The sequence below is a fragment of the Homo sapiens genome, chromosome 20 (genome assembly GCF_000001405.40).
Source record: "Homo sapiens chromosome 20, GRCh38.p14 Primary Assembly".
NCBI classification, from domain to species: domain Eukaryota; kingdom Metazoa; phylum Chordata; class Mammalia; order Primates; family Hominidae; genus Homo; species Homo sapiens.
The window spans coordinates 21,623,864-21,651,132 of NC_000020.11; the positions used below are offsets into that span (position 1 = coordinate 21,623,864).

Consider the following 27,269-nt stretch of genomic DNA (forward strand, 5'->3'; position numbering starts at 1 on the left):
ATTTTTTCCTTTCTTCCTTCCTCCCTCCCTCCCTATCTCTGTGTCTTGTTTCTTTTCTTTCTTTGTTTCTTTCTGAAATTTGGCCTCAATGAAACTTCTGAGACAATTTAGCATCCTCAATTGTTTTCACTGCCTCCGTCTCTATGTTCTGACCTTCCCCATGTCTGTTCTGGGGTATTGCAGGTTTCTGTGACAGTGACAGAATGTGACTGATAGCACCTCTTGGCCCATGGAATCCCAGACCAGGACTCAGAGCCCCACATTTCTTATCCTTGGATAAAGCATATGACTTCTTTGAGGCTCACTTTTCATGAAATGGGAATGAGAATATGGTCTTCACCCATCTTACATAGATGTTATTAAGATAGAAATGAGACATAAGGCTGGGGGTGGTGGGTGACACCTGTAATCCCAGCACTTTGAGAGGCCAAGGTGGGGTGATAGCTGGAGGCCATGAGTTCAAAACCAGCCTGAGCAAGAAAGCAAGACCCCATCTCTACAAAAAATTAAAAACTTAGCTGGGTGTGGTGGCGTGCACCTGTAGTCTCAGCTACTTAGGAAACTGAGGTGGGAGGATCTCTTGAGCTTGGGAATTTGAGGTTGCAATGGGCTGTGATCACACCACTGTATTTGCCCAGGTGACAGGTGAGACTCTGTCTCTAAATTAAAAAAAACAAAAACCAAAAAACAAATGAGATATAAGATGGATAAATGAATTAAAAACTTTCCTAGGTGAAGTTTGCTGATTGAACATATGTCTCTGCATTTTTCTCCTCCTAAAGTCCCACTGGAATAATAACAAGCAATGGATTGTTTTGAAAAAGGCAAAACCGACTACAATGGAAAAAATGGGAGAAGAAATGACAACAACATGGTTTGGGAGTTGGAATACAGACAGATGAGTGGTAACTGATGAAAGAAAACAAAGCTCAGAAGGCCGTAGTGGGGAAAATTATAAAACAGCAGATGTGTGCTGCAAATTCCACAAAACTTGGGAACTAGGGGCAGCAGGTACCTCTGAAATTGGGGGTAAGGCAGAAAGACTCAAATAAGAAGGATGTGTTTAGCAAGCACTCAGATCTCTATGTCTTCACCCCACTGTGGGCAGCCAGGCCACTGCCCACCTCTCTTAGCAAAGACTGGCTGGAGAGGGTAAGGCATGGTCTCTGGACACCTGGGCTGTGCACTGCAGCAGTGCGATGAGGGACAGCTGGATGCTGACGAGCCTCGGCCCGCTTTCCTGACCTGGCTCCCAGGATGCTGCAGTCAGTCTTCACCTTCCAGTCAGGAGACCTGGAGAGTGTTCTCTCGGGAGTCTGTCCAGCCAAAGAAGAAAGAGTTAAAGGTACTGAAATCAGCAGTTTCCCAGAAACATGGCCCATCTGGAGTCTCCTACAGTGGAGCTGCAGATGCTGAGTGTGGTTCTTGCACTCTGATCTTCCAATTAGCATTTAGTTCCTTACTCTGAAATGCTAGCAGAAAACTAAGAGTTACTAATGGGATTCATTTCCTATGACTACTATAACGAATTACCATCAACTTGGGGCTTGAAACAATACACATTTATTTTCTTGCAGGTCTGGAGGCTAGAAGTCTGAAATCAATTTCACTGTGTCAAGGCAAGGTATTGGCCAGGCTGGTTCCTGCTAGAGAGTCCAAGGAATATGTTCCTTTGCCTTTTCCAGCTTCTGGAGGTGCTTAGATTTCTTGGCTTACGGCCCCTTCACTCCAATTTTTGCTTCTGTTGTCACATGGCCTTCTGTCTCTGTTGATCTTGCCTCCTTCTTTTAAGGACCCTGGTAATTAAGTTTAGGTCTTGCTGAGATAATGCAGGATGATCTCCTCATCTGAAGATTCTTAACTTGATCTGAAAAGTTCCTTTTGTTATATACAAGTCCTGGAGATTAGGGCATGGGAAGCCCATTATTCAGCATATCACAACTGTCTCATGAATAATCAGGATTTCCTTGAAAGTAAGCCTAAGGCCTCCAGATGGACATAGAATCATCCTATTATGTACCACTTTGAGGGGGCGGAATTAAGAAAATAGTCACAAATAATTTTCTATGATCTGTGGTTCAAAAGAAGAACCTAGTTGAGAAAGACAGACTTAGAATAAAATAAAGGTGAAAGTAATCAGACAGAAGAGGCACAGAATAGTTAGGAAGAAGACACTCTAGAAACAGACTATTAATACTTTACGGCAGTGGCCCGCAACCTTTCTGACACCAGGCACTGGTTTCATGGAAGACAATGTTTCCACTAGGGGGATTGAGGGGGTTGGGGGTCGGGATGGTTTTGGGATGAAACTGTTCCACCTCAGATCATCAGGCATTAGATTCTCATAAGGAGCACACAACCTAGATCCCTTGCATGTGCAGCTCACAATAGGGTTCACACTCCTATGAAAATCTAATGCTGCCAGCGATCTGACGGGAGGCGGAGCTCAGGCAGTAATGCTCATTCACCAGCCACTCACCTTCTGCTGCGTAGCCTGGTTCCTAACACACCATGGACCTGGCTTATGGCCCCTGGTTTGCATCCCAGGGATTGGGGACCCCTGCTTTGGGGAGATAAGAAAATAAACTGCAATAATCAAAAGAGAACGAGATGTTATAAAAAACGTTCAGAGAATACAAATAAACTCTTGGAAATGAAAATAACATAGCAGCAAAGAAAACCTCAAAATAAGTTTCCAGATAAAGTTGAGGTATTCTTACAAAAAACAGAGCAAAAAGAAATAGATGGAAACTAGAAGAGAAAAGAAAATTAGAGAACGAGTCCAACAGACCCAACATCTGATTAATAGAAGTTGCAGAAATAGGATTAAAGAATACTTATGGAATAAAATAATAAATGGAAAAAATTCAAAAAACTTTCCAAGTTTTTTAGAACATAAGTTTTCAGATTGGAGGGGTCCCCCAAGTTTCTATCATAATGGGTGAAAATAGGCCTATGACAAGGCACATCATCACTGTGGTCAAAAAGAAGAGGTATATCTATCTATATCTATAGATATATGTATATCTATCTATATCTGTAGATATACGTATATCTATCTGTATCTATAGTTATACGTATATCTATATCTGTAGATATACGTATATCTATCTATATCTGTAGGTATACGTATATCTATATCTGTAGATATACGTATATCTATCTATATCTGTAGGTATACGTATATCTATCTATATCTGTAGGTATACGTATATCTATCTATATCTATATCTATACCTACATCTATAGAGAGGCTTATAAAGAACCTAGGATTAGGAAGGCTTTGAAGTTCTCAATGCCAACTAGAAGGCAATGAAGCATGCTTTCAAACTAGTGAAGAAAAATGATCTCCAACTAGAATTCTACTCCCAGCTGAACCACCACCAAAAGCTATTCAAGGTGTGTGTTCCATCAAAATTACAGAGTAAATCCAAAAAAGGAAGACAAGAGGTATAGGAATGAGAAGTTCCAACACAGGAGGTTACCGAGTGGCAGCAGACTCTGGAAAAGACCTGTTGCATTTGGCTGTGCAGGATGTACACTGCTCAACTTCTGATCATGCCATTCTTTTCATTTTCTCTGTGGATGACATAGAAATAGAGAGAAATCAGGACAATTTAGAGCCCCTCTGAAGGCTCCTGGGGAGACCTCCTTAGGAAATTAAAATCAATAGAAAACCTCATGCAGTAAGAAGAAATTTAGACAATTGATAGCATTTGTGATTGAGTGAACGATAAATACACAGAAATCTAAGCAAATCAAAAGAAAACAATGATTAACTTTGGAGTATTAATAACTACAAAAATTAAATCATAATAAGATCTGAGGAGTATTTACATATTCATAATAATTCAAGCACTGATGATTTATCTCTAACTACAAATTTTGAAATAATTATGTTGGGAGAGCCAGGGTTATGGGAAAGTGGCGTGTGTGCAGAGGGGTGATATAAAAGTCAAGATGTAGCAATAAAAACATATTCTTCAAGAAAGGTTAGCATATGCCAAAACAGTCAGCTAAGATCCATGAAGGGGGCTGATGAGTAGGGGCAATGATATTTTATAACAAAACTTGAATTGTTACGCTCTTTAAACTGTATGTATTTGTAACTTTGCTAAAAATAGAAACTAGTAAAAGTTTTAAAAGTTCTTTCAACTCTGGGAAAGTCATTTAATCTCTCTTAGCCTCGATTTTATCTGGGTGAGTGTGCACAGGGGCATATGTGTATCACTCCTGGCACAGCTGAAGTGCAGAGTGAAGGCTAGTGTTACACATGTCATCAGCATCATTGTGAGCTGATGTTACTGCCATAGAGCTTGCTATGCACAGAGTTGGTGTTTGAGTCAGAGCAGCAAAACTGAGTCCCCGGTACACATCATTTAATTACCTGCACCTGTGCTCCCCTCTTACTTCTGGCTTGCCAGGAATTGCTTACATTGACACTGGCCCAATTGTCCCATGTAACTAATGTTTATGGTTTCTTTTAAATAAACATAGAAATTGACTCTCCCAATCTTAAAACTTGAGAAAGTTACATTTGTCTTACCTGAGTTTCTTCCTCAGGAAACCAATAATCAGGCCTCCCAGATTATATCAAGGACCTGAAACTCATCAGATCACTAGATCTGGACAATGAGATGCCAGACCACCCCCCCACACCTGTCATGACTGCCTGACCGGCCACCTGCTTCCTGTGGACCAGTTCCTCTCCCCTACCCTCCCTAATACCTATTTTCCCACACATGGTTACATTTCTTCCTTGCTATATAAACCCCTAATTTAAGTCAGTTGAGGAGATGGATTTGAGATTGATTTCCCATTTCCTCAGCTGCAGCACTGAATTAAAGCCTTCTTTCCTGGCAATACTCATCTCAGTGATTGGCTTTCTGTGCTGCAAGCAATGGGACCTAGACCGAAACTCTGGTGTTTTGGTAACATCAGAAGGAGAGGTTATGCCCAGGCGTGCATGATGGTTGAGGCCAGAGTTGGGGATCCTGTCCATTCCCATGGCTGGGAAAAGAAGCTTTCTGGTCTTGGAGAGGAGGCAAATCTTTAGCTCTTGGAGAAACATTAGAGATAACCCACGTGGAAGCAATGGTGCCAGTAGACCAAGGCAACACAGCTTTGTTCAGTGAACAATGACAATGAGGAAGTCAGTCATTTCTAACCTGGGAACAGCTGGCAGCAACCTGGTACCTGTCTGAGCTCATCCCTGGTGCTGAGGTCTGGAGATGCAGAGATTGTTCTGGATACTCTTTTAGAAATGTGGGCTCCTAAGGACGTGTCAGGGATCATCTCCCCCGGTCCAGACCAGGAAGGGCTCTAGACCAAAGGGCTCTGGGACAAAAGTCCATTCTCCTAATCAGACTCCAAGGGCCACAACAGCTGAGAAAGGGCGGTCTGGCTGTAAGTAGAGCAAGCTCTACAAACACGTGCGAAGGAAGGCCGCACTTCCCTGTCTCTCTCTCCCACCATCTGGAAAGCTGGTGAATATTTCCCATCATCATCATCTCTCATTTCTATCTTTGTGTGTCCTTAAGTAACCACATTGTATTGTGAGGGAGTGTAAGGAACATGGGTTCAAAATTTTGAAACAGGAAGACTGGATTCAAGAATAGCCCATGTTATCCCTGACTGTGTGATTCTGTGTAATTTTATCTCTCTGAGTTTTCATTTCCTTGTCTATGGAATAGGGGTAACAATCGCTTCCCCAGCTACTGCAAAAGGTTTAACACAGCTTAACTAAAAGGTTTGACAAAGGGCAAATGGTACAGCATAGGTCAAAACTGCTTTGTAAGGACCTGAGAGGCAGGAAGGAAACCAGCATTTATAGAGCGCCCAGCCAGTAGCAGGTGCACGGTAGCTACGGTGATACCTGCCCTTGATATATATTCTCTTCTTCACATTGATATGGGTGCTGTAAGTGTTAGGACTTTTTCTATGGAGCAAGAAACTGAAGGTGGCAGGGAGAATAACTGCCTAAGTCACATGTGAGTGGATGTGTGAATGAGGTCCTCAGGATGTCACTGGCTGGGTGCTGGGGCTTCAGTAATGAACAAGCCATTATATCCCACTGGTGGGAAATGAAAAATAAAGAAGTTAATAAATAAACCAGACAAGTATAGAAAAAATACTATGCAAAAAATAAATGAGTACATGTAAGATGGGGCTGTCTCACACTAAGGGGTCAGGAAGGGGCTTTCTGAGGAGGTGATATTGGCACTGAGACCTGAACAACCAGAAGAATCAGCCATGTAAGGATTGTGGGGAAAGGCATCCCAGGAGACGAGAAGAGCAAATGCAAAATCCCCAAGGGGTATTGAGGTGTGTGCATATGAGGGGCAGAGAAAACCAACACAGCCGCCACACTGTGAGCAAAAGGTAGGGAGAGGATGTTGTAGAAGATGAGGATACAGAGGCTTATAGGAGCCCTTCTGGGCCTTAAAGGTCACAGCAAGGAGACTGATGTTCATTTGAGGTGTGTTGGGAAGACACTGGACAGGTCTAGGCAGGGGCTGCTCTGTCTGGTTTGTACTCTTGGTGTGGTCATTGTTACATGGTTTTGTGTTTGGCGGCTCCCCAGGCTTTGTTTCCATTAACATCAAGTTGCTGGGAGAAATCGCACAGCTGGGGGATCCTCCTCTCCACCCATGGTTTCAGCACTTGCCTGCCACCCCTAACCAACTTTAGGCATTGGGGGTGGTGTTGGGGTGGGGGTGGCTGTAGGGAAAGAAAGAGTCAGGGCAAAACCCCTAAGGCAAAAAGAAGTGCTCTTCTTCCCTGCCAGTAGTGAACCAACCATCAAAGCAGGGAGCTGGTGATCACTAGAGAAGGCAGTCCTGAAATCTTTGGCAACAAGCACCAACAAGCACCAACAAGCCATCAACAGCCTAGCAGTTCTGTTGTTGTAAATAAAGACCTTCTATCCTTCTACCAACTGGGGTGGGCTTTTTTGGCCAATAACAGACACATGGAATTTCAGGACCTCCTCAAAAAATACTTTCATTGATCTACCTCTGAGGACAAATAAATAAAAAATATAAAGAAATATTGACTGAGTGTGGTGGCTCATGCCTGTAATCTCAACATTTTGGGAGGCCAAGGTGGGAGGATGGCTTGAGCCCAGGAGTTTGAGAGCAGCTTGGACAATGTAGTGAGACCCCAATCTCTACAGAAAAATTAAAAATTAGCTGAGTATGATGGCATGCACCTATGGTCCCAGCTACTTGGGAGGCAGAGGTGGGAGGATTCCTTGATCCCGGAGGTCAAGGCTGCAGTGAGCTGTGATTATGCCACTGCATGATCATGGCTCACTGCCCTCCAGTCTGGGCGACAGTGTGAGACCCTGTTTCCAAAAAAAAAAAAAAAAAGAAAAGAAAAGAAAGAAAAAAGAAAAATATTAATAAAAACATTTTTGCAAGGTAATTATTTGGTAAAATATGTATTTCTACATAATAATTGATACATATGAAAGACTCTAATATATTTCATTTTGAATTGATGAAGCATTGTATTAAAATAAACATTGAACCCACCATCCACCTTGAGAAAGTGTACATTACTAAAACTGTTGAAATTAACTGTATGTATCTCCCTGATTCCACTCACTTACCTTCCCTGGAAGGTAACGTCTACATTACATTATTTGGAAGTACAAAATTTATTTTTCCTTCTTCCTTTTCTAAAGAGTTTCCTTCCACATTTTTGTTTTGAAAATTTTTAAACCTACAGAAAGTTGCAAAATAGTAAAACAGATACAAATTTACTCCTCATCTAGATTCACCAATTATTAACGTTTTGCTCAATTTGTGCTTAGTTATCTATCATCTATCTATCTATCTATCTATCTATCTATCTATCTATCTATATCTTTCTTTCTTTCTCTCTCTCTCTCTTTCTCTAATCTTTTCTGAACCCATTTGAGATGCAGTTATGCACACATAACCTTTGATCTGCAGATGCTCTAAGACCAAGGATCTTTGCCTACACCAAAATCAGGAAATTTTGCATTGGAACAACACTGTTATCTAATATGGTATATATTCAAATTTCCCCAGTTGTCCCAGTATGTGTCCTTAATAACCGTTTTCCTGTGTGTTTGCTCCAGGATCCAGCCCAGGTTCACACATTGCATTTGCTGACTTATCTCTTTAGCCTCCTCTATTCTAGAACAGTTCCTCAGCCCTTTCTTCCCCCATGGCATTGACAATTTTGAAAACCCCAGGCTGTTATTTTTGGAATGTTCCTCATTTTGGATTTGTCTGATTGTTTCCTCATGAGGAGGTTCAGATTAATAAAAATTCAAAGCCCCTTTAAAGGCTTCAAACTGAATGAAATCTGCTCTCAATTTGCTTCGACACCGGGGACGCTATTGCACAGGGGAATTGAGCCTGGATGGCATAGTCCACCTCTGGAACAGATTTCAGCTAAGCTGGGTAAGGCTGGTAGCTGAGTTGTCAGCCTAACACTCCAACAGAGCTGACAGGAACTGTAGATACCCCTGTTACACCCTGAGTTAAGTCTTTATTTCCAGTTCATCTCTGCAGTGGGCCTTCCCAACCCAGAGGTCTGCTCTGTTCCATGCAGACTGAGATTATCTTCCATGAGGAATCGCTGAGATATGAGAGGAGGCCCTGGGTGCCAGTGAGGTGGACTCGATGGCTGGCAGATGTTCACTGCACTGGCTGCTGGCACAGAGGCCAGCAAAGTGAAAATGCATGTGGAGTCCCAGTAGGCAAAAAGCAATTTCCTGAGCTGGGCCTTGGCCAGGAGGCTGCAGTTTTACGCTTCCCTGCATTCAATGGCTATGGGGAGGCTGACGGCAGGACTTGAGCCTGATGCTTCATTTCCCAAGGCCCAGCCTTCAGGAGCCCTCATGTCCTGCACAGGCAAGAGGCAGTTCTTCACCTCCTAAATGTGCAGGGCCTCAGCAGTGCTCCTTGGACGCTGCTCATGCTGATATTAACCAGCCCCAAATGCATGAACTCCCAGGAGGCTTGGGTTTCCTCATGAGGTGGCACAATTTAACTGTAGGCCTAGTCAAGTGGAATTTTTCACACATTTATTTCCCCTCTGAAGGGCTTGCATGTATAGCCACATTTCTCTCCATCTCTGAGAACGGCTCATGGGGAAGTGGGAAGCAGAAATGGCTGCAGGGTTGCTTGTTTTGTTCCTGGCATTGGGGGTGTGGACTTTCCACTTCATCTCCCCTCTTCCTAGAGACAAGGCATGAGACACTGGCTTCACCACGATGAGGCTGCTGAGACAGAAGCAGGAAAACAGGAAGGCCATGGGCTCCAGAGCCGGGTCCATTCACTGCTGTGCCTTCCCATGGTTTAACCTTTTCCAGCCTTAGTTTCCTGAACTGAAGAATGGGGATGACAACACTCACAGGGCTGCCAAGAGGATGGCTGTAGACACCCATACATGGATGCTGTAATGTCAGACACTCTAGAATGTCACTTGGTTCTTAGCCTGGGATCTGCTGAGAGTCCCTCAAAATTCTGGGAGTAGAATTCAAGAGAATAATATAATTGCACCTTTATTAACACGGAAAGTGATGCACAGCTTAGCATTTCCTTCAATTCTGTGGACAACAACTCGTGGCAGTGTTAGTAGTACCTGTGACTGTCATCAATAGAAACCATAGATATTTTCATATTACATTACAGTTTTATAGGCATTTCAAAACTTTATTTACACTCATCGTGACTTCAAAATCATGTTAACGTTTAGACATACAGCTAGATCCTGCTATTTAGTGTGCCAATTAATAATCACAGATATTAGCATATCATAAATTTGTTGTAAGATATTTTGATAACTGTAGTTCAGTATAAGTGGTTTCCTTTGTACTCCTGTGTATTTTACTTAATGTGCTTACAAGCATTTTGAGAAGGGATTCAAGGGCTTTACCAGAAGTGTCCTGTGTTCAAAAAATGGTTCAGAACTGCTGCTCTAGCTACTCGGGCTTTGGGTAGTAACTTTCCTTTCTCAGGGGCTCTTGCTGGGTCCTGGCTGAAGACGTGAGGTGGCTTTCTTACTCATAATTTCTTCCTTTGCTGCCCTTCTGAAAATGGAGATAGTCAGTGGGAAGGCAAGGGCCTTGAGGGGATCTGAACTGTTCCCCAGTGTCTTCAGATTGGTGGATGACAGACAGGCCTGCCAAGGGCAATCATATGTGCAACAGGACATGCATGAAGTATCAGAGTTGTTGCCCAGATTATACCAGAAAAGTAAAAAACAAATTGAGCTGCAGGTCAAATTGAGGAAGCAATGACTCTCTTCTCTTCTGCAATGAGGCTGAGAATTAGAAATCCCTGCTGGGTGCAGTGGCTTACGCCTATAGTTTCAGCGCTTTGGGAGGCCGAGGTGGGCAGATCACCTGAGGTCAGGAGTTTGAGACCAGCCTGGCCAACATGGTGAAACCCTGTCTCTGCTAAAAATACAAAAGTTGGCTGGGTGTGGTGGCGCATCCTCTAATCCCAGCGACTTGGGAGGCTGAGGCAGGAGAATCACTGGAACCAAGGAGGCGGAGGTTGCAGTGAGCTGAGATTGCGCCACTGCACTCCAGCCTGGGTGACAGAGCGAGACTCTGTCCCCCCCCCACCAAAAAAAAAAAAAGAATTGGAAGTCCTCACAGTCATGAGCTAGGAGATCCAGGAATCTGCCTCTTGAATTCTGGGAAATAGGGATGTGAAGCTGGAGGCTCTAGTGAAGCCTCTCAGGCTACTTTCTCTTGGATGACAGCTTTGACCAACAGACAGAGAAGTGCATGATCGCCAAACTACAAAGCTAGACTTGTGGGCCAACTTGTCATACGCAAATCCAACAGAATGTAGAGACAGGAGCTCCAGGAAGAAAAGCAAATAACTTCTAATCTGGACACGGGTCGAATCATGCCTTCTAATGGTGCAGCACTGGGCAAGTGGCTTCACCTCCTTGACCTTAGTATTCTCCTCTATAAAATGGGGGCATTGGGGATCATGTCTACCTCTGAGGATTTAATGACAGCATATAAATAGAGCCTGGCAAGTGGCAGAACCATGATATATGTTCAGCATTGTTAGTTCTTGAGGTGGGTAACTGTTGTTTTTTCCCAACCAAACTCCATCTTCCTCTTGTTCTGGTGACAGTACCTGGACTTTCCTTTAGAAAATCACCTTCCTCAGTTCTGGCCAGGGCAATCAGCAAGAGAAAGAAATAAAGGGTATTCAATTAGGAAAAGAGGAAGTCAAATTGTCCCTGTTTGCAGATGACATGACTGTATATTTAGAAAATCCCATCGTCTCAGCCCAAAATCTCCTTAAGCTGATAAGCAACTTCAGCAAAGTCCCAGGATACAAAATCAATGTGCAAATATCACAAGCATTTCTATACACAAATAACACACAAACAGAGAGCCAAATCATGAGTGAACTCCCATTCACAATTACTACAAAGAGAACAAAATACTTAGGAATCCAACTTACAAGTGTTGTGAAGGACATCTTCAAGGAGAACTACAAACCACTGCTCAATGAAATAAAAGAAGGCACAAACAAATGGAAGAACATTCCATGCTCATGGATAGGAAGAATCAATATCGTGAAAATGGCCATATTGCCCAAAGTAATTTATAGATTCAATGGTATCCCTATCAAGCTACCACTGACTTTCTTCACAGAATTGGAAAAAACTACTTTAAATTTCATATGGAACCAAAAAAGAGCCTGCATAATCGAGACAATCCTAAGCTGCCTCAGAACAAAGCTGGAGGCATCACGATACCTGACTTCAAACAATATTACAAGGCTACCATACATTACATTAATATTGTAATATTACAATATTACAAGGCTACCATAACCAAAACAACATGGTACTGGTACCAAAACAGATATATAGACCAATGGAACAGAAGAGAGGCCTCAGAAATAACACCACACATCTACAACCATCTGATCTTTGACAAACCTGACAAAAACAAGCAATGGGGAAAGGATTCCCTATTTAATAAATGGTGTTGGGAAAATTGGCTAGCCATATGTAGAAAGCTGAAACTGGATCCCTTCCTTACACCTTATACAAAAATTAACTAAAGATAGACTAAAGACTTAAATGTAAGACCTAAAACCATAAAAACTCTAGAAGAAAACCTAGGCAATACCATTCAGGACATAGGCATAGGCAAAGACTTCATGACTAAAACACCAAAAACAATGGAAACAAAAGCCAAAATAGACAAATGGGATCTAATTAAACTAAAGAGTTTCTGCACAGCAAAAGAAACTATTATCAGAGTGAATAGGCAGCCTACAGAATGGGAGAAAATTTTTGCAATCTATCTATCTGACAAAGGGCTAACATCCAGAATCTACAAGAACTTAAACAAATTTATAAGAAAGAAACAACCCCATCAACATGTGGACAAAGGATATGAACAGACACTTCTCAAAAGAAGACATTTATGCAGCCAACAGGCATATGAAAAGATGCTCATCATCACTGGTCATCAGAGAAATGCAAATCAAAACCACAATGAAGTACCATCTCACGCCAGTTAGAATGGCGATCATTAAAAAGTTAGGAAACAACAAATGCTAGAAGGGATGTAGAGAAATAGGAACACTTTTACAGTGTTAGTGGGAGAGTAAATTAGTTCAACCATTGTGGAAGACAGTGTGGATTCCTCAAGGATCTAGAACTAGAAATACCATTTGACCGAGTAATCCCATTACTAAGTATATACCCAAAGGAATATAAATCATGCTACTATAAAGACACATGCACAGGTATGTTTATTGTGGCACTATTCATAATAGCAAAGACTTGGAACTAACCCAAATGTCCATCAATAATAGACTGGATAAATAAAAGGTGGCACATATACACCATGGAATACTATGCCACCATAAAAAAGGAAGAGTTCATGTCCTTTGCAGGGACATGGATGAAGGTGGAAACCATCATTCTCAGCAAAATATCACAAGGACAGAAAACCAAACACCGCATGTTCTCACTCATAAGCGGGAGTTGAACAATGAGAACACATGGACACAGGGAGTGGAACATCACACACAGGTGTGGGGGGAGGGGGGAGGGATAGCATTATGAGATATATCTAATGTAAATAATGAGTTGATGGGTGCAGCAAACCAACATGGCACATGTATACTTGTGTAGCAAACCTTCACGTTGTGTACATGTACGCTAGAACTTAAAGTATAATAATAATAATAAAAAGAAAATCACTTTCCTCTATGTGTTTTATGTGGAACCAATGCTGCCTAAATCCTGCAGTGCATACGCAAGTTGGTGTTGGCCAACCAGAGCATCCTTACTGCTCTACACCATGATAGATTTAGGGTTGGCCCATCATCAGGCCAGATTCGTGAGAACTCCATCCTAGACTTATACTAGAACCGTCAAGGAAAAATAGTCCTCCTTGCACTGAGGCCACTAATCCTGGCACTGCAGACATCATTCTCAGCCCTCTAAGGATACAACCCCCCTAAGAAAGCAGAACTGAGAGATGGAGATGGCATCATTTGAGCTCCTGGTGCCTGAAGCTAGAAGACTGCTGGAATTTTTAGTTAAGTGAGCAATATATCTCCTATTTCTTTGAGCTAATATAAGTTTGGCTTCTGCCCTTTACAGTTACAAGAGCATTGCATAATTCCATTCATTTTTGTCTCCCTCTCTATGGAAAGAGTGGCTAGGATGGGTTAAAACCGGTAGTCAAGAGGACAAGTAGCAGAGGTGAGGACCAAGGGGATGAACTAGGGGATTCTTCCTCCACCCCCAGAGATAAGAAGGCGGGCTCGGAAAGCTGCGGTATTCACCGCCACTCCTGCCTGTCTGTGGCTGAGTGTGTCACTAGGGGTAACTCCCCAGCACTTCCAGGGAGAATGCCCTGATGCAGTGATTCCGGAAGCCAAGAATAAGCACAGGGACAGTTCCCGGTGGGAGATGTGGCAGGCCTGGCAGAGACTGGCTCAGAGGTCACAGCACTGTCCAACTCTGCTTCATCTCTCTCTTAAAAAACCCAAACAAACAACACTTTATTGAGGGATGATTAACATACAATAATCTATATATATGTTATTAAAAGTTTTTATTTTTGATTTTCATGGGTACAAGGTTGTACATATTTAATGCATGCAACTTGGTATGTGTGGAGATAAGTATGCAAGGTGAAACCATCACCACAATCAAGGCCATAACCATATCTATCACCTCCCAAATTGTCCTTGTCCCCTTTTTATTTATTTGTTTTTGTGATAAGAACACATAACACAAGATCTATCCTCTTAACGAATTTTTAAGTACACAATACAGTATTGCTGGCTATGGACACTCTGATGTACAGTAACTCTTTAGGACTTACTCATCTTTATAACCAAAACCTTGTGCCCTTTGACTAATACCTTTCTCTTTTCCCCTCCCCTCAGATCCTGGCAACCATCACTCTACTCTTTGCTTCTGAGTTTAATTATTTTAGATTCCTCATGAAAGTGGTATCTTGCAGTAATTTTCCTTCTGTATCTGGCTTATTTCACTTAGCGTGGTGTCCTCCAGGTTCCTTCATGTTGCTGCGAAGGCAGGATTTCCTCCTTTGTTAAGGCTCTTTTGTATGCATCCGTTACATACTCATACTCTGCTTCGTCTCTTGAATGCTGCCTCCCAAGATGCTCATTTTATGCATGCCCTCTTCCCTCAATCATGCATCTTCTCTTTGCCCACTTCTCTTAAAGTATAAATCTCTCTCGTCCCCATCAAAACTTGGCTATCTGGTGTTCCAGTCTGCTAACATTCAGCTAGCCAAGGTAGCACTTTGTAATAAACCAGGGGTTCCAACCACACACCAGATTTTATATTGAATGACCCTAATGCTTAAAATGGATAAAAGTGGAGCTGCCTGTCGGAGGGCCAGCAGGCTCCACGTCCTGTGTGCATGGCCTCACTGGCCTGCTGTGTGCTGGTCTGGAGGTGCCCTTCGGTATGGTAGCATCCTTATTGCAAGTGAGAAACTAGTCTCCTCTGAATCTTTGATTTCAAAAGAAATAAATTTGGAGCCTTTTTAGATGGGTCGGAGAAGAAAACGAAGGTGAGAAAAGTCAACCAAAGCATGAACATTCCCTGGCAAACTCACAGCAGGGTGTGGTTTGGAGCCAGCCTTGAACCCTGCATGCTTCCAAAATGGCACCTCCTCTCAGGTTTTGTCTTCACAGGCTCCTGGTGGAGCCCAACGTTTCATGGGAATTGGCTACACTTGGAGAGCCACAAGCATGTGCCATGTGCCCAGCATTAACTGTCATTATCTCCTTGAATCTGAACAATGCTCCAAGTAGCATTGTTAATGCCATTGTGCAGATAAAGACTTTGATCCTCCATATGGACAGTGGAATAATGAGGCCTATCTTGTTCTCTCTTCTGTTAAGGTCTGTGTTAGCTTGTCTTAGAGATGGTGCCTACAGTCCTCCTCTCCACATAGGCTTTTATCATTCTTCCTGTTGATAGGTGGAATCTGTTTCCTGCTCCCTGAATCTGGGCGAGCCTGTGACTTGCTTTGATCAGTAGAATGAAGCAGAAGTGACACTGTGTCAATTCCAGGCCTAGTGGTTGAGAGATCTGGGAGTTTCTGTGTTGGCCCTCCTGGAAGTGGGCTGCTGTGCTATAAGAACATCCATGCTATCCTGGTAGAGTGATGCCATGGGAAGAGGCCCTGGGGGATGAGTCAATATGTGGAGGAAGAGGGCACCCAGCAGCACATGCAGGTGCAGATACCTGACAGAAGCTGTCTGGGAGGCTCTAGTCCCACCCAGATGAACACAGGTGTGGCCACAGCTGACATGGTGTAGCTTTAATAGCTTGTTTTAGTTTAATAATAAATTGTTTCAAGCTGCTACATTTTGAGGTGGTTTTTTATGCAGCAATAAATAACTGTAAGAGTTTGCCTCTCCGGAGCTTGCAGTGAGCCAAGATCCCACCACTGCACTCCAGCCTGGGCGACAGAGCGAGACTCCGTATCAAAAAAAAAAAAAAAAAAAAAAAAAAAAAAAGAGTTTGCCTCTCTTTTCACTGAAAATTAACTTCTTGTGGCAAATGGTCAGCTCTGATGTTTTTCAAAATTAGGAACAATTGAGCTATATTCTTCCTGGAGCAATGGCAGACAACGAATTGGAACCAGGAAAAGCCCAACTTTAAACCCTGGCTTCCTGAGAAAATCAGCATCAACTTCACTCCCTGCAGTCCATTCTAGCCAGATTTTGTTTGGTAGTGGCGGTGGTCTGAGCTCATAGCCAGGAAATTTGAATGCAAAAATTTCCACTTTTGGTGGGTTGTGACACAGTCTACATTCTACTTTGGGAAATACTTGTGTTTTCCAAGGATAGCTTAGTTTATCATGTGAGATTCTGCTTCAGTGGCCATCCTTATGCTGATACTATGTGAAGAGACAGGATTGTCTTTCATCTTAGAAAGATCTAGATGACGTTTTTGCTTTGCTAAGGGGTGGGATTTTAGGCCCTGGCAAAGGCAGGTAACCTAACAGATGCCTCATGGATAAAAATTCTGCAGAAGCAAGGTGCTTGGGAAGGTGGGCCTGGAATAGTAGTTTTTCTCTGAATGTGGGGTAGTTCATCTCTCTATGTCAATTTTTATTGGGTAGGGCTTGCCTGCCTTTATGTTTTTAAAACAAATGTTGGTTCTATATTTGAACTCCCTGAGCCAACTTTGATGAGGGGCAGGAAGACAGAGCCAAGATGGCAAAAGCATTCTGCAGGCATCGATTCCCTACATGGTGGCTTCTCATGTGATCATTTTCCAGCCCCTGGAAGCCTTTTGGGAACTCGGAAGCACTTATCCTCAGACATGTGGCTCATTCTTGTTTCCTCCAGGAGCCAATAGGTGGTAGCAACGGGCCAGCAAAGAAGCACCTGCTAAGGTGGGTGGTTCAGCCTAGCTGTCAAGGCGATAGAAGCAGCTATGTGGTTTAAGTCAAAGAATACCTCTAGAGAAGAACTTTAAGTCTGAATGTATGTGATGCAGACACTAGCTTCTCAAAACAGCCTGGCTTAGCACAGACTCCATCTTCCAAGGATTTTTCATCTCTCTGAATATCTCTCTAGAATATCTATCTACCTTCTTGGCAGATGGGAGTAGCCAGGCACATTGGGAGTAGCCAGGCTGCATCTGAGCACCTGCCAAATGGTGTGCAGCCTTTGGGGGCTGTGAACACATGCCAGTTGTGCTCCTTTCCCTGGTAGGGCCTGACCATACCCTGGGCATGTGGTCCAAGCCCAGAAAGGTGCGGGGAGGCACAAAGATGCAAACAGCTGGATGGGCAAACACAGGCACAAACATCCCATGAGCACTGACTGTGGGGATATGTGGAGGCTGTGAGGATGAGAAAGACATGATGGAAGGATGATGAGGCAGGGATTGGCATGAGGCTGGGCTGCTCAAGGAAGGTTTGGTGAAGATGTGGAGTTTGGGAAGAATTTGGAAGAAGGAACCCAACTTGGTGGGGAAAAAATACTGTGGAGGTGGAGGAAGCATCGGAGGAGCTGCTGTGATGGACTTTGATTGGTTCAGCCGATGAGAAGTCTCGGGCCAAAGCAGCTGTTGACTAGGGGGGTACCTGGGAGCTGATGGTGAGAAACATTAGTGTGCGGATTCCTGTGCACCAGGTTATGGCCCATCGGCGGGGGCAGCCGCGTCAGTGTGGATAATATGAATGTCATCAGCAAACCAGATTCAGAGGCACTCACAAAGCTTGACTTGCCTGACACCTTTTATCCCACATTCCTGTTGTCGAATAAATATCTTTCAGGCCTTCAGAACTTTCTAGACTCAAGTCTTTATTAGAAAAGGTGGCATCATAAAGAGTCTATCACAGTCTCTAGGGGGCCTCCTGTAGCTCCGCTGACCCCTATTACTGCAGGTGTTCCGTACATCTTCTATTTGGTGTGATTTACACAGACTCACAAGGTGAAGAACCCCACTGGGATAAAAAGACCAGAGATGTCCCAACTTGGGGGCAATGATTTGCTTTTTAAGAACAATGTCTTTCAAATGTTATTGACCACAAGTTATACAAAAAAATACATTTTTACCATATAACCCGGTATACACATTTTAATGTGCAATTCGTAATTGAAATTAAAAGTTCATTAAACAATTTTCACTTTGTATTATATCTTTTTTATTTTTTAAAAAGCTGACAGTGACACACTAAATGGATCTGATAACCCCAGCAGTTTTCTTTTTACAGTTTGTATCTTTCTTTCCAACCAAGATACCTCTGGGTTGACTTCTAAAAACAGATGCTCTCACTTCTTCAGAGACCGCCATTAACCTGCTTCTTGTGATCACTTGACTGGGTACTGGGCAGAAGTTTGTCTTCTCGATAAGAAAGAGCAGTGCTCAGCAGATTGAGAGAACAAATTGTAGAACTTAAGACAAAAACAGTGACAGAAAGCCTAGAAGCAAGGATTTGATTTATTCACATAGAGTTGATGTGATTATGTGTTTAGCATGTAATTGCCTTGGTTGCTTTCTTTGGGAGCGTTTCTCCCCCATCCCCCACCTGTATTTTAAAAACCTTAGGGTCAAGGAGCAGGCAGTATAGCCTAAAATAGGCTTGTGGTACCAATGTCATGAACCCTTCCTAAGGGACGTGAGTTTGCAGCTCCTAGTGTCTTTCTGGGCATTGTGCAGCAAAATAGTTAAAAAGCCAGAACTCCAGCTTTCCAACACTGAGCATGGATCCCAGCTCCTCCATGTCTTTTCTGTGTGAACTTGTATAACTTCAACTGTCTGTGCCTCAGTTTCTTTACCTGCATGGGGCAATAATCACAGTACCTACACCACAGGGTTACTGAAAAGACCAGAGGAGAGAATGCTGTAACATGAGCTCAGTGCTGGGGACATGTGAGTGTCACCTGTTGGTATCTGATAGGGCTCCCTGAGGCTTCCTGTTAGACAATATCTTTTTACCAGCCTACTTCCAGCAATAGGCTGGAAGTGATAATAAAAGCATATTCCTTTCTTTAAAAAACCCTATAAACCTAAACTTTTAATAAATTCTGATAGGCCTTTCCATCAATAGACTGGCTTTTCGAGTCTCATAAGATAAGCTAATTTTTGGAAAAGTTTTGCTTGTTAATATCTCACAGCCAACCCAGAGTCAGTAAAATCAACAGAGAAATGAAATACAGGCAGGTTAACAAGTTTCAGCAATGTGTCACAGTGGAACCCTTTAAAAAATACTGACCAGGCTACAGTGTCAGTAAGATTCCAAATTATTGTCTAATAGTCATCACTTTCTTGAACTACATAGGAATGGACTAGATAAAAAAAATACACTTAGAAAATCAACATAGTTTTACTCATAAGAGATTGCATGAAAGAACTTACCTTGAGATGTTCATGGCAAGCAACATGATTCCATATACTGACAAATTTTATTTTTCCATTTGTGGCATTTTCTCCCCTAATAACTGCTCTGTTGTGACCATGGGAATGTCAGGTATATAAAAATACCCAAATAATGAGCCCTCTCCTAAAATGATAAAGAAAACCAATTTTTTTATTTCTCCTTGTCCTCTCCAGCCCAGCTTCATACTGACCTTAAAACTTTGGGCAATAAACCTGTCATATAGTGTTGCGTGCTTGGTTCCATCAGCATTTTTTGGTGTGTGTGTGTGTGTGTGTGTGTGTTAGCCAAAACAAACAGCGTATTGTCTACTACGAACATGCAAGGACAAGTTTTTTGGAGGAGCTTGGGTAAGCGTTGTGCAGGGACTTAAATTTCGGCTTCATGTGCATGACGGTTGAAGGCTCCCTTGTCAGTCAGCCTGGGGCAGCACAGGAAGGGGGAAGAAGGTGAGAGAAGGAAAGCAGTTGTCTCCTAGGAATACAATGAAAGGTGGGGCTGAGGGGAAAGAAAGGAGAAGGAAAGACATACAGGAGGCCTCTCTGACCTAACAGGACACCAGTAATCCGTGTTGCTTTCCAAGATCCCTGGGATTAGCACAAACACAATTGATGCGTATTCCGCAGGTGCCTAGTATGGAGGCTTCCTCAGGCTACCTGAGAGGAATAATTTTCCTCTTGTGAGATGCTCTGTCTAAATCCACTTTGATTATTTTTCTGGGGTTCGCTGTGGTTGCATTAAGATTTCTAAGGTAGGAGGCATTATTGTTTCTTCTCTCTGTCTTGCACCTGCTAAAGGTGATCAGTCACTTCCTATCTGGAAAACCTAACCTTCCACCCCATCGTCACCCTAGCCCAGGCCCATATCCTTCCTTAGCTAGATAATGGCAGTGGTCTTGTCTCCTATACCTGTTTCCTGTGTCACCTTTTCAACTTGTTCTCCCTCTTGGAATCATAATCATCCTTCTAAAATGAAACGCTGACCATGTTATTGTTGTAAGCTCATGGACATCCACTGCCTTCACAGTGATATTCTAACTCCTTAGCATGGCGTGCGAGACCTTTCACCATCTGACTAGCCCTGCTCACTTATCTCAGGAGCACTTACCTTGCTACAACATAGACACCTATTCTCTATGAGTCCATACTTCAATTCCTTTGTAGGTGTTATCTTCTCTTCTGAGAAGGTAACCTGCTCCCCATCCCTGACTCATTCCATGTTGTTCTGTGACAAACTCCTACTTATAAACATTAATCACAAATATTACTTAGTTAACCCTACAATGATAATTGGAGACTCCAAAACCCAAGCTCAACAATTGACATAAAAGCCAGAAAGAAGATAAGTAAAGAAGCAGAGGACTTGACCAACACAGTAAAGCAACTAGATCTAACAGATATATACAGAACACTCCACTCAGCAACAACAGAACAACTTCCTCTCAAGTGAACATGGGACATTTTCCAGGACAGACCTTATGTCAGGCCACAAATCAAATTTCAGTGGATTTCAAGAAACAGATATATTCAAACTATCATCTGTGACCATGATGGGGTCAATTTACACATCAATAACAGAAGAAAAACTGTAAATTTCACAAATTTGTGGAAATTAAATAAGCCACTCTTACACAATTAAAGGATCAAAGAATAAATCACAAAAGAAATTAGAAAATACTTAAAGATGAATGAAAATAAAAACACAACATACCAAAACCTATCGGATTCAGTAAAAGTAGTGATTTAAAGCTGTGAACACATTAGGCCAGAGGTGGTGGCTCACACCTATAATCTTAGTACTTTCAGAGGCCAAGGCAGGTGGATTACCTGAAGTGAGGAGTTTGAGACCAGCCTGGACAACGTGGTGAAACCCTGTCTCTACTAAAAAAAAAATACAAAAAATTAGCTGGGCATGGTGGCTCATGCCTGTAGTCCCAGCCACTTGGGAGACTGAGGCAGGAGAATTGCTTGAACCTGAGAGGCAGAGGTTGCAGTGAGCTGAGATCATGCTACTGTACTCCAGCCTGGGTGACAGAACGAGACTCCATCTCAAAAATAAATAAATAAATAAATAAATAAAGCTTTGAACGAATTAAAAAAGAAGAAAGATCTCAAGTGAACAAATGAACTTTACAACTAAGGAACTAAAAAACCCAAATTAAACCCAAAGTTAGCAGATGAAACAAATCGTAAAGATTAAAGCAGAGATGATAAAATAGAGAAGAGAAAAATAATAGAGATCAACAAAACCAAAAGTTCACTCTTCAAAAAGGTTAACAAAATTGATAAACATTTAGCTAGATTGGCTAAGAAAAAAGATAGAAGACTCAAATAACTAAAATCAGGAATGGAAGTGGGGACATTACTAACTGGTTCGCAGAAATAAAGTAGATTATAAGAGAGCACTATGAACAACTGTTTGCCCACAAATTAAATAACCTAGATGAAGTGATAAATCAGAGACACAAAGCCTATCAAATCTGAATCATGAAGAAATAGAAAATCTGAATAGATCTGTAGTTAGTAAACAGACTGAATTAGTAATCAAAAACCTCCTGAGAAAGAAAAGCCCTGGACCTGATGCCTTCTCTGGTGAATTCTCTTAAGCATTTAAAGAACTACCATTAATCCTTCTCAAACTCTGCCAAAAAATTGAAGAGGTGGGAACACTTCCTACCTAATTCTGTGAGGCTGGGTGTTGACTGATACCAGGCCAGCCAAAACATTACAATAAAAGAAAACTACAGATCAATATATATGATAAACTTTAATGTAAAAATCCTCAACAAAATACTGGCAAACTAAATTCAGCGGCATACTAAAAGGTTTATACACCATGACAAAATGTGGTTTATTCCTGGAATGCAGGGACGGTTCAATATGCAAAAATGGGTCAATGTGGATCTGTCTTTATTTTGCTTTGTTTCGCCAATGAGCTTAAGACATTTTTAAAAAGCAAGAAAATATATGTGAATATAAAGGTATTCTCAAGTTAGAGTGACAAAGAATGCAAATGATTTCAACACTTTTTATATTGATTGCATGTTAAAATGATAATATTTGGATATGATTGGGCTAAATACAATATATTATTAGAATAAAAAAGTTGGCCGAGGCGGGCGGATCACGAGGTCAGGAGATCGAGACCATCCCGGCTAAAACGGTGAAACCCCGTCTCTACTAAAAATACAAAAAATTAGCCGGGCCTAGTGGCGGGCGCCTGTAGTCCCAGCTACTTGGGAGGCTGAGGCAGGAGAATGGCGTGAACCCGGGAGGCGGAGCTTGCAGTGAGCCGAGATTGCGCCACTGCACTCCAGCCTGGGCGACAGAGCGAGACTCCGTCTCAAAAAAAAAAAAAAAAGTTGGTCAGTGTAATATACCACATTAACAGAATGAAAAAAAAAATCCACAGGATCATTTCAATGATTTAGAAAAAGTATTTGACAAAAGTCAACATCCTTTCATGATTAAAAAAAAAAACACACTCAAGGTAACTACCTCAACAATATAAAGGTATATATAAAAAATCCACAGCTAGAATCATACTCAATAGTAGGAGGCTGATAAATTCCTTTAAGATCCTGAACAAGGAAAGGATGCCCACTTTCACCCCTTCTGTTCAGCGTAGTATTGCCAGCTCTATCCAGAGCAATTAGGCAAGGAAAACAAATAAAGGCTCCAAATAGGAAAGGAAGAAATAAAAATATCTCTGTTTGTAGATGACATGATCTTGTATGTAGAAAACACTGAAGGTTCCACAAAAAAGTCTTAAAACTAATAAACAAATTCAACAAAGTCGCAGAATACAAAATCAATATGCAAGAATTAATTGCATTTTCATACACTAACAATGAACAATTCAAAAATAAAATTAAATGAACCAATTCCATTTACAATAGCATCAAATATAATAAAATACTTAGGAATTAGTTTAACCAAAGAGTGAAAGACTTCTACACCGAAAATGATAAAAAGTTGGCTGGGCACAGTGGCTCACACCTGTAATCCCAGCACTTTGGGAGGCTGAGGTGGGTGGATCACCTGAGGTCAGGAGTTCGAGACCAGCCTGGCAAACATGGTGAAACCCCATCTCTACTAAAAATACAAAAATTAGCCAGGTGTGGTGGCATGTGCCTGTAATCACAGCTACTCAGGAGGCTGAGGCAGGAGAGTTGCTTGAACCCAGGAGGTCAAGGTTTCAGTGAGCCATGATGGCACCACTGCACTCCAGCCTGGGTGACAGAATGAGATCAATCTCAAAAAACAAACAAACAAATGAAAGAAAATGATAAAAAGTTGCTGAAAGAAATTAAAGAAGACACAAATAAAAAGAAAGATATTTATGTTCATGAACTGGAAGACTTAATATTGTTAAAATGACAACACTACACAAAACAATCTGCAGCCTTAATGCAATCCTTATCAAAATCACAATGGCATCTTTTGCAGAAATAGAAAAATTTGTCCTAAAATTCTTGTGGAATCTCTAGGGGTTCCAAATAGCCAAAAACAATTTTGAAAAAGACCCAAGTTGAAAGTCTCACACTTCTTGATTTCAAAATATATTACAAAGCTACAGGAATCAAAACAGTGTGGTGCTGGCATAAACACAGACATATAGCTCAATGGAACAGAAAAGAGAGCCCAGGAATACATAACCCCACACATAAGGTTAAATGATTTTTGACAAGATTGCCAAAACTTTCAACGCAGAAGTATTATCATTTGTTGAAGGCACTTAACAAACGATACTAGAAAAACTGGATATCCATGTGCAAAAGAACGAAGTTGGACCTTTGACTAATGTTATATATAAAAACTAGAGATCATGGCGGATGGGAAGCAGGACTAGATTGCAGCTCCAACTTGGACGGACAGAGAAGCAGGGGGAAGCTAACATCGTGAATTTTTGCTCCAGAGTGATTAGAGGAATAAATCAGAAAACCTGAGAGGACCCACAGACCCCCCTGAAGGAAGTGGATTGCTCCTGCAGGACCCAAGAGACACCCCAAATACTGTGCTGTTATCCATGGCTGAGAGACCCAAAGATGGTTCACATCACAGGACTCTGCAGACAACCCCTAGTACCAGCCTGGAGCCTGGGTAGACTTTCTGGTTGGCTAGATCCAGAAGAGAGATGACAATCACTACAGCTGGGCTCTCAGGAAGCCACAAAGAGTACTACAACAAGGGAACCTCTGTGGGAAAAAAGAAACTGAACAGCAGCCTTCAGCCCTAGACTTTCCCTCTGACAGAGCCTACCCAAACAAGAAGGAACCAGGAAACCAGCTCTGGTAATATGACAAAACAAGGTTCTTTAACACCTCCAAAAAATCACACTAGCTCACCAGCAATGGACCCAAACCAAGAAGAAATCCCTGATTTACCTGAAAAATAATTCAGGAGGTTGGTTATTAAGCTAATCAGGGAGGCACCAGAGAATGGTGAAGCCCAATGTAAGGACATCCAAAAAATGATACAAGAAGTGAAGGGAGAAATATTCAAGAAAATAGGTGGCATAAATAAAAAACAATCAAAACTTCAGGAAACAATAAACACACTTATAGAAATGCAAAATGCTCTGGAAAGTCTCAGCAATAGAATTGAACAAATAGAAGAAAGAAATTCAGAGCTCAAAGACAAGGTCATTGAATTATCCCAATCCAACAAAGACAGAGAAAAAGAATAAGAAAATACAAACAAAGACTCCAAGAAGTCCGGGATTATATTAAACAATTAAACCTAAGAATAATTGGTTTTCCTGAGGAAGAAGAGGAATCTAAAAGTTTGGAAAACATTTTGGGGGAATAATTGAAGAAAACTTCCCCAGCCTTGCTAGAGACCTGGACATTCAAATACAAGAAGCACAAAGAACACCTGGGAAATTCATCGCAAAAAGATCATCACCTAGGCACATTGTCATCAGGTTATCTAAAGTTAAGACAAAGGAAAGAATCTTAAGAGCTGTGAGACAAAAGCACCAGGTAAACTATAAAGGAAAACCTATCAGATTAACAGCAGATGTCTTAGCAGATACCCTACAAGCTAGAAGGGATTGGGGTCTTATCTTCAGTCACCTCAAACAAAACAATTAACAGCCAAGAATTTTGCATCAAGTGAAACTAAGCTTCATATATGAAGGATAGATACAGTCTTTTTCAGACAAATGCTGAGAGAATTTGCCACTACCAAGCCACCACTACAAGAAATGCTAAAAGGAGCTCTAAATCTTGAAACAAATCCTGGAAACACATCAAAACAGAAACTCTTTGAAGCATAAATCTCACAGGACCTATAAAACAAAAATACAATTTTAAAAATAAAAACAAAAAACAAAAAAACCAATGTATACAGGCAACAAATAGCACAATGAATGGAATGGTACCTTACATGTCAATACTAACATCGAATGTAAATGGCCTAAATGCTCCCCTTAAAAGATACAGAATTGTGGAATGGATAAGAATTCACCAACCATCTGCTGCCTTCAAGAGACTCACCCAACACATAAGGACTTGCACAAACTTAAGGTAAAGGGGTGGAAAAAGACATTTCAGGCAAATGGACACCAAAACTGAGCAGGAGTAGCTATTCTTATATCAGTCAAATCAGACTTTAAAGCAAGAGCAGCTAAAAAAGACAAAGAGGGACATTACATATTGATAAAAGGCCTTGTCCAACAGGAAAACATCACAATCCTAAGCATAAATGCACCTAACACTGGAGTTCCCAAATTTATATAACAATTACTAATAGACCTGAGAAATGAGATAGACAGCAACACAATAATAGTGGGGGACTTCAATATTCCACTGACAGCACTAGACAGATCATCAGGACAGAAAGTCAATAGAGAAATAATGGATTTAAACTATACTCTGGAACAAATGGACTTAATAGATATATACAGAACACTCCATCCACCAACCACTGATTATACATTCCATTCAACATTGCATGGAACTTTCTCCAAGACAGACCATATGATAGGCCACAAAATGAGCCTCAATAAACTTAAGAAAATTGAAATTATATCAAGCACTCTTTCAGACCACAGTGGAATAAAACTGGAAATCAACTCCAAAAGGAACCTTTAAAACCATGCAATTAATATATGGAATATTAAATATTTTATACAATATTTAATACATGGAAATTAAATAACCTGATCCTGAATGATCATTCAGTCAAAAATGAAATAAAAATGGAATTAAACAACTCTTCAAACTTAATGACAATAGTGACACAACCTATCAAAAACCTCTGGGACACAGCAAAGGCAGTGCTAAGAGGAAAGTTCATAGCCCTAAATGGCTGCATCAAAAATTCTGAAAGAACACAAACAGACAATCTAAGGTCACACCTCAAGGAACTAGAGAAACAAGAAAAAGGCAAACCCAAACCCAGCAGAAGAAAGGAAATAACCAAGATCAGAACAGAGCTAAATGAAATTGAAACAAAAAAAAAATACAAAAGATAAATGAAACAAAAAGTTGGTTCTTTGAAAAGATGAATAAAATTGATAGACCATTAGCAAGATTAACCAAGAAAATAAGAGATAAAATCCAAATAAGCTCAATAAGAAATGAAACAGGAGATATTACAAGTGACACCACAGAAATGCAAAAGATCATTCAAGGCTACTGTGAACACCTTTATACACACAAACTAGAAAATCTAGAAGAGATGGATAAATTCCTGGAAAGATACAACCCTCTTAGCTTAAATCAGGAATAATTAGATATCCTGAACAACCAGTAACAAGCAGAGAGATTGAAATGGTAATTAAAAAATTACCACCAACAAAAAAAGTTCAGGACCAGACAAATTCACAGCAGAATTCTACCAGA

General features: G+C 41.4%; 1 long non-coding RNA gene across 1 annotated transcript in view; it reads right to left on the reverse strand.

The window, feature by feature from the left end:
* Positions 1-27,269, reverse strand: part of LINC01726 (long intergenic non-protein coding RNA 1726) — a 92,799-nt gene that overhangs the window by 13,077 nt on the left and 52,453 nt on the right. The window contains exons 2-3 of the long non-coding RNA NR_109878.1: positions 3,486-3,579; positions 2,480-2,563 (exon numbers count right to left, since the gene is read on the reverse strand). This is a non-coding gene — a long non-coding RNA (long intergenic non-protein coding RNA 1726). The remainder of the gene's footprint in view (positions 1-2,479; positions 2,564-3,485; positions 3,580-27,269) is intronic.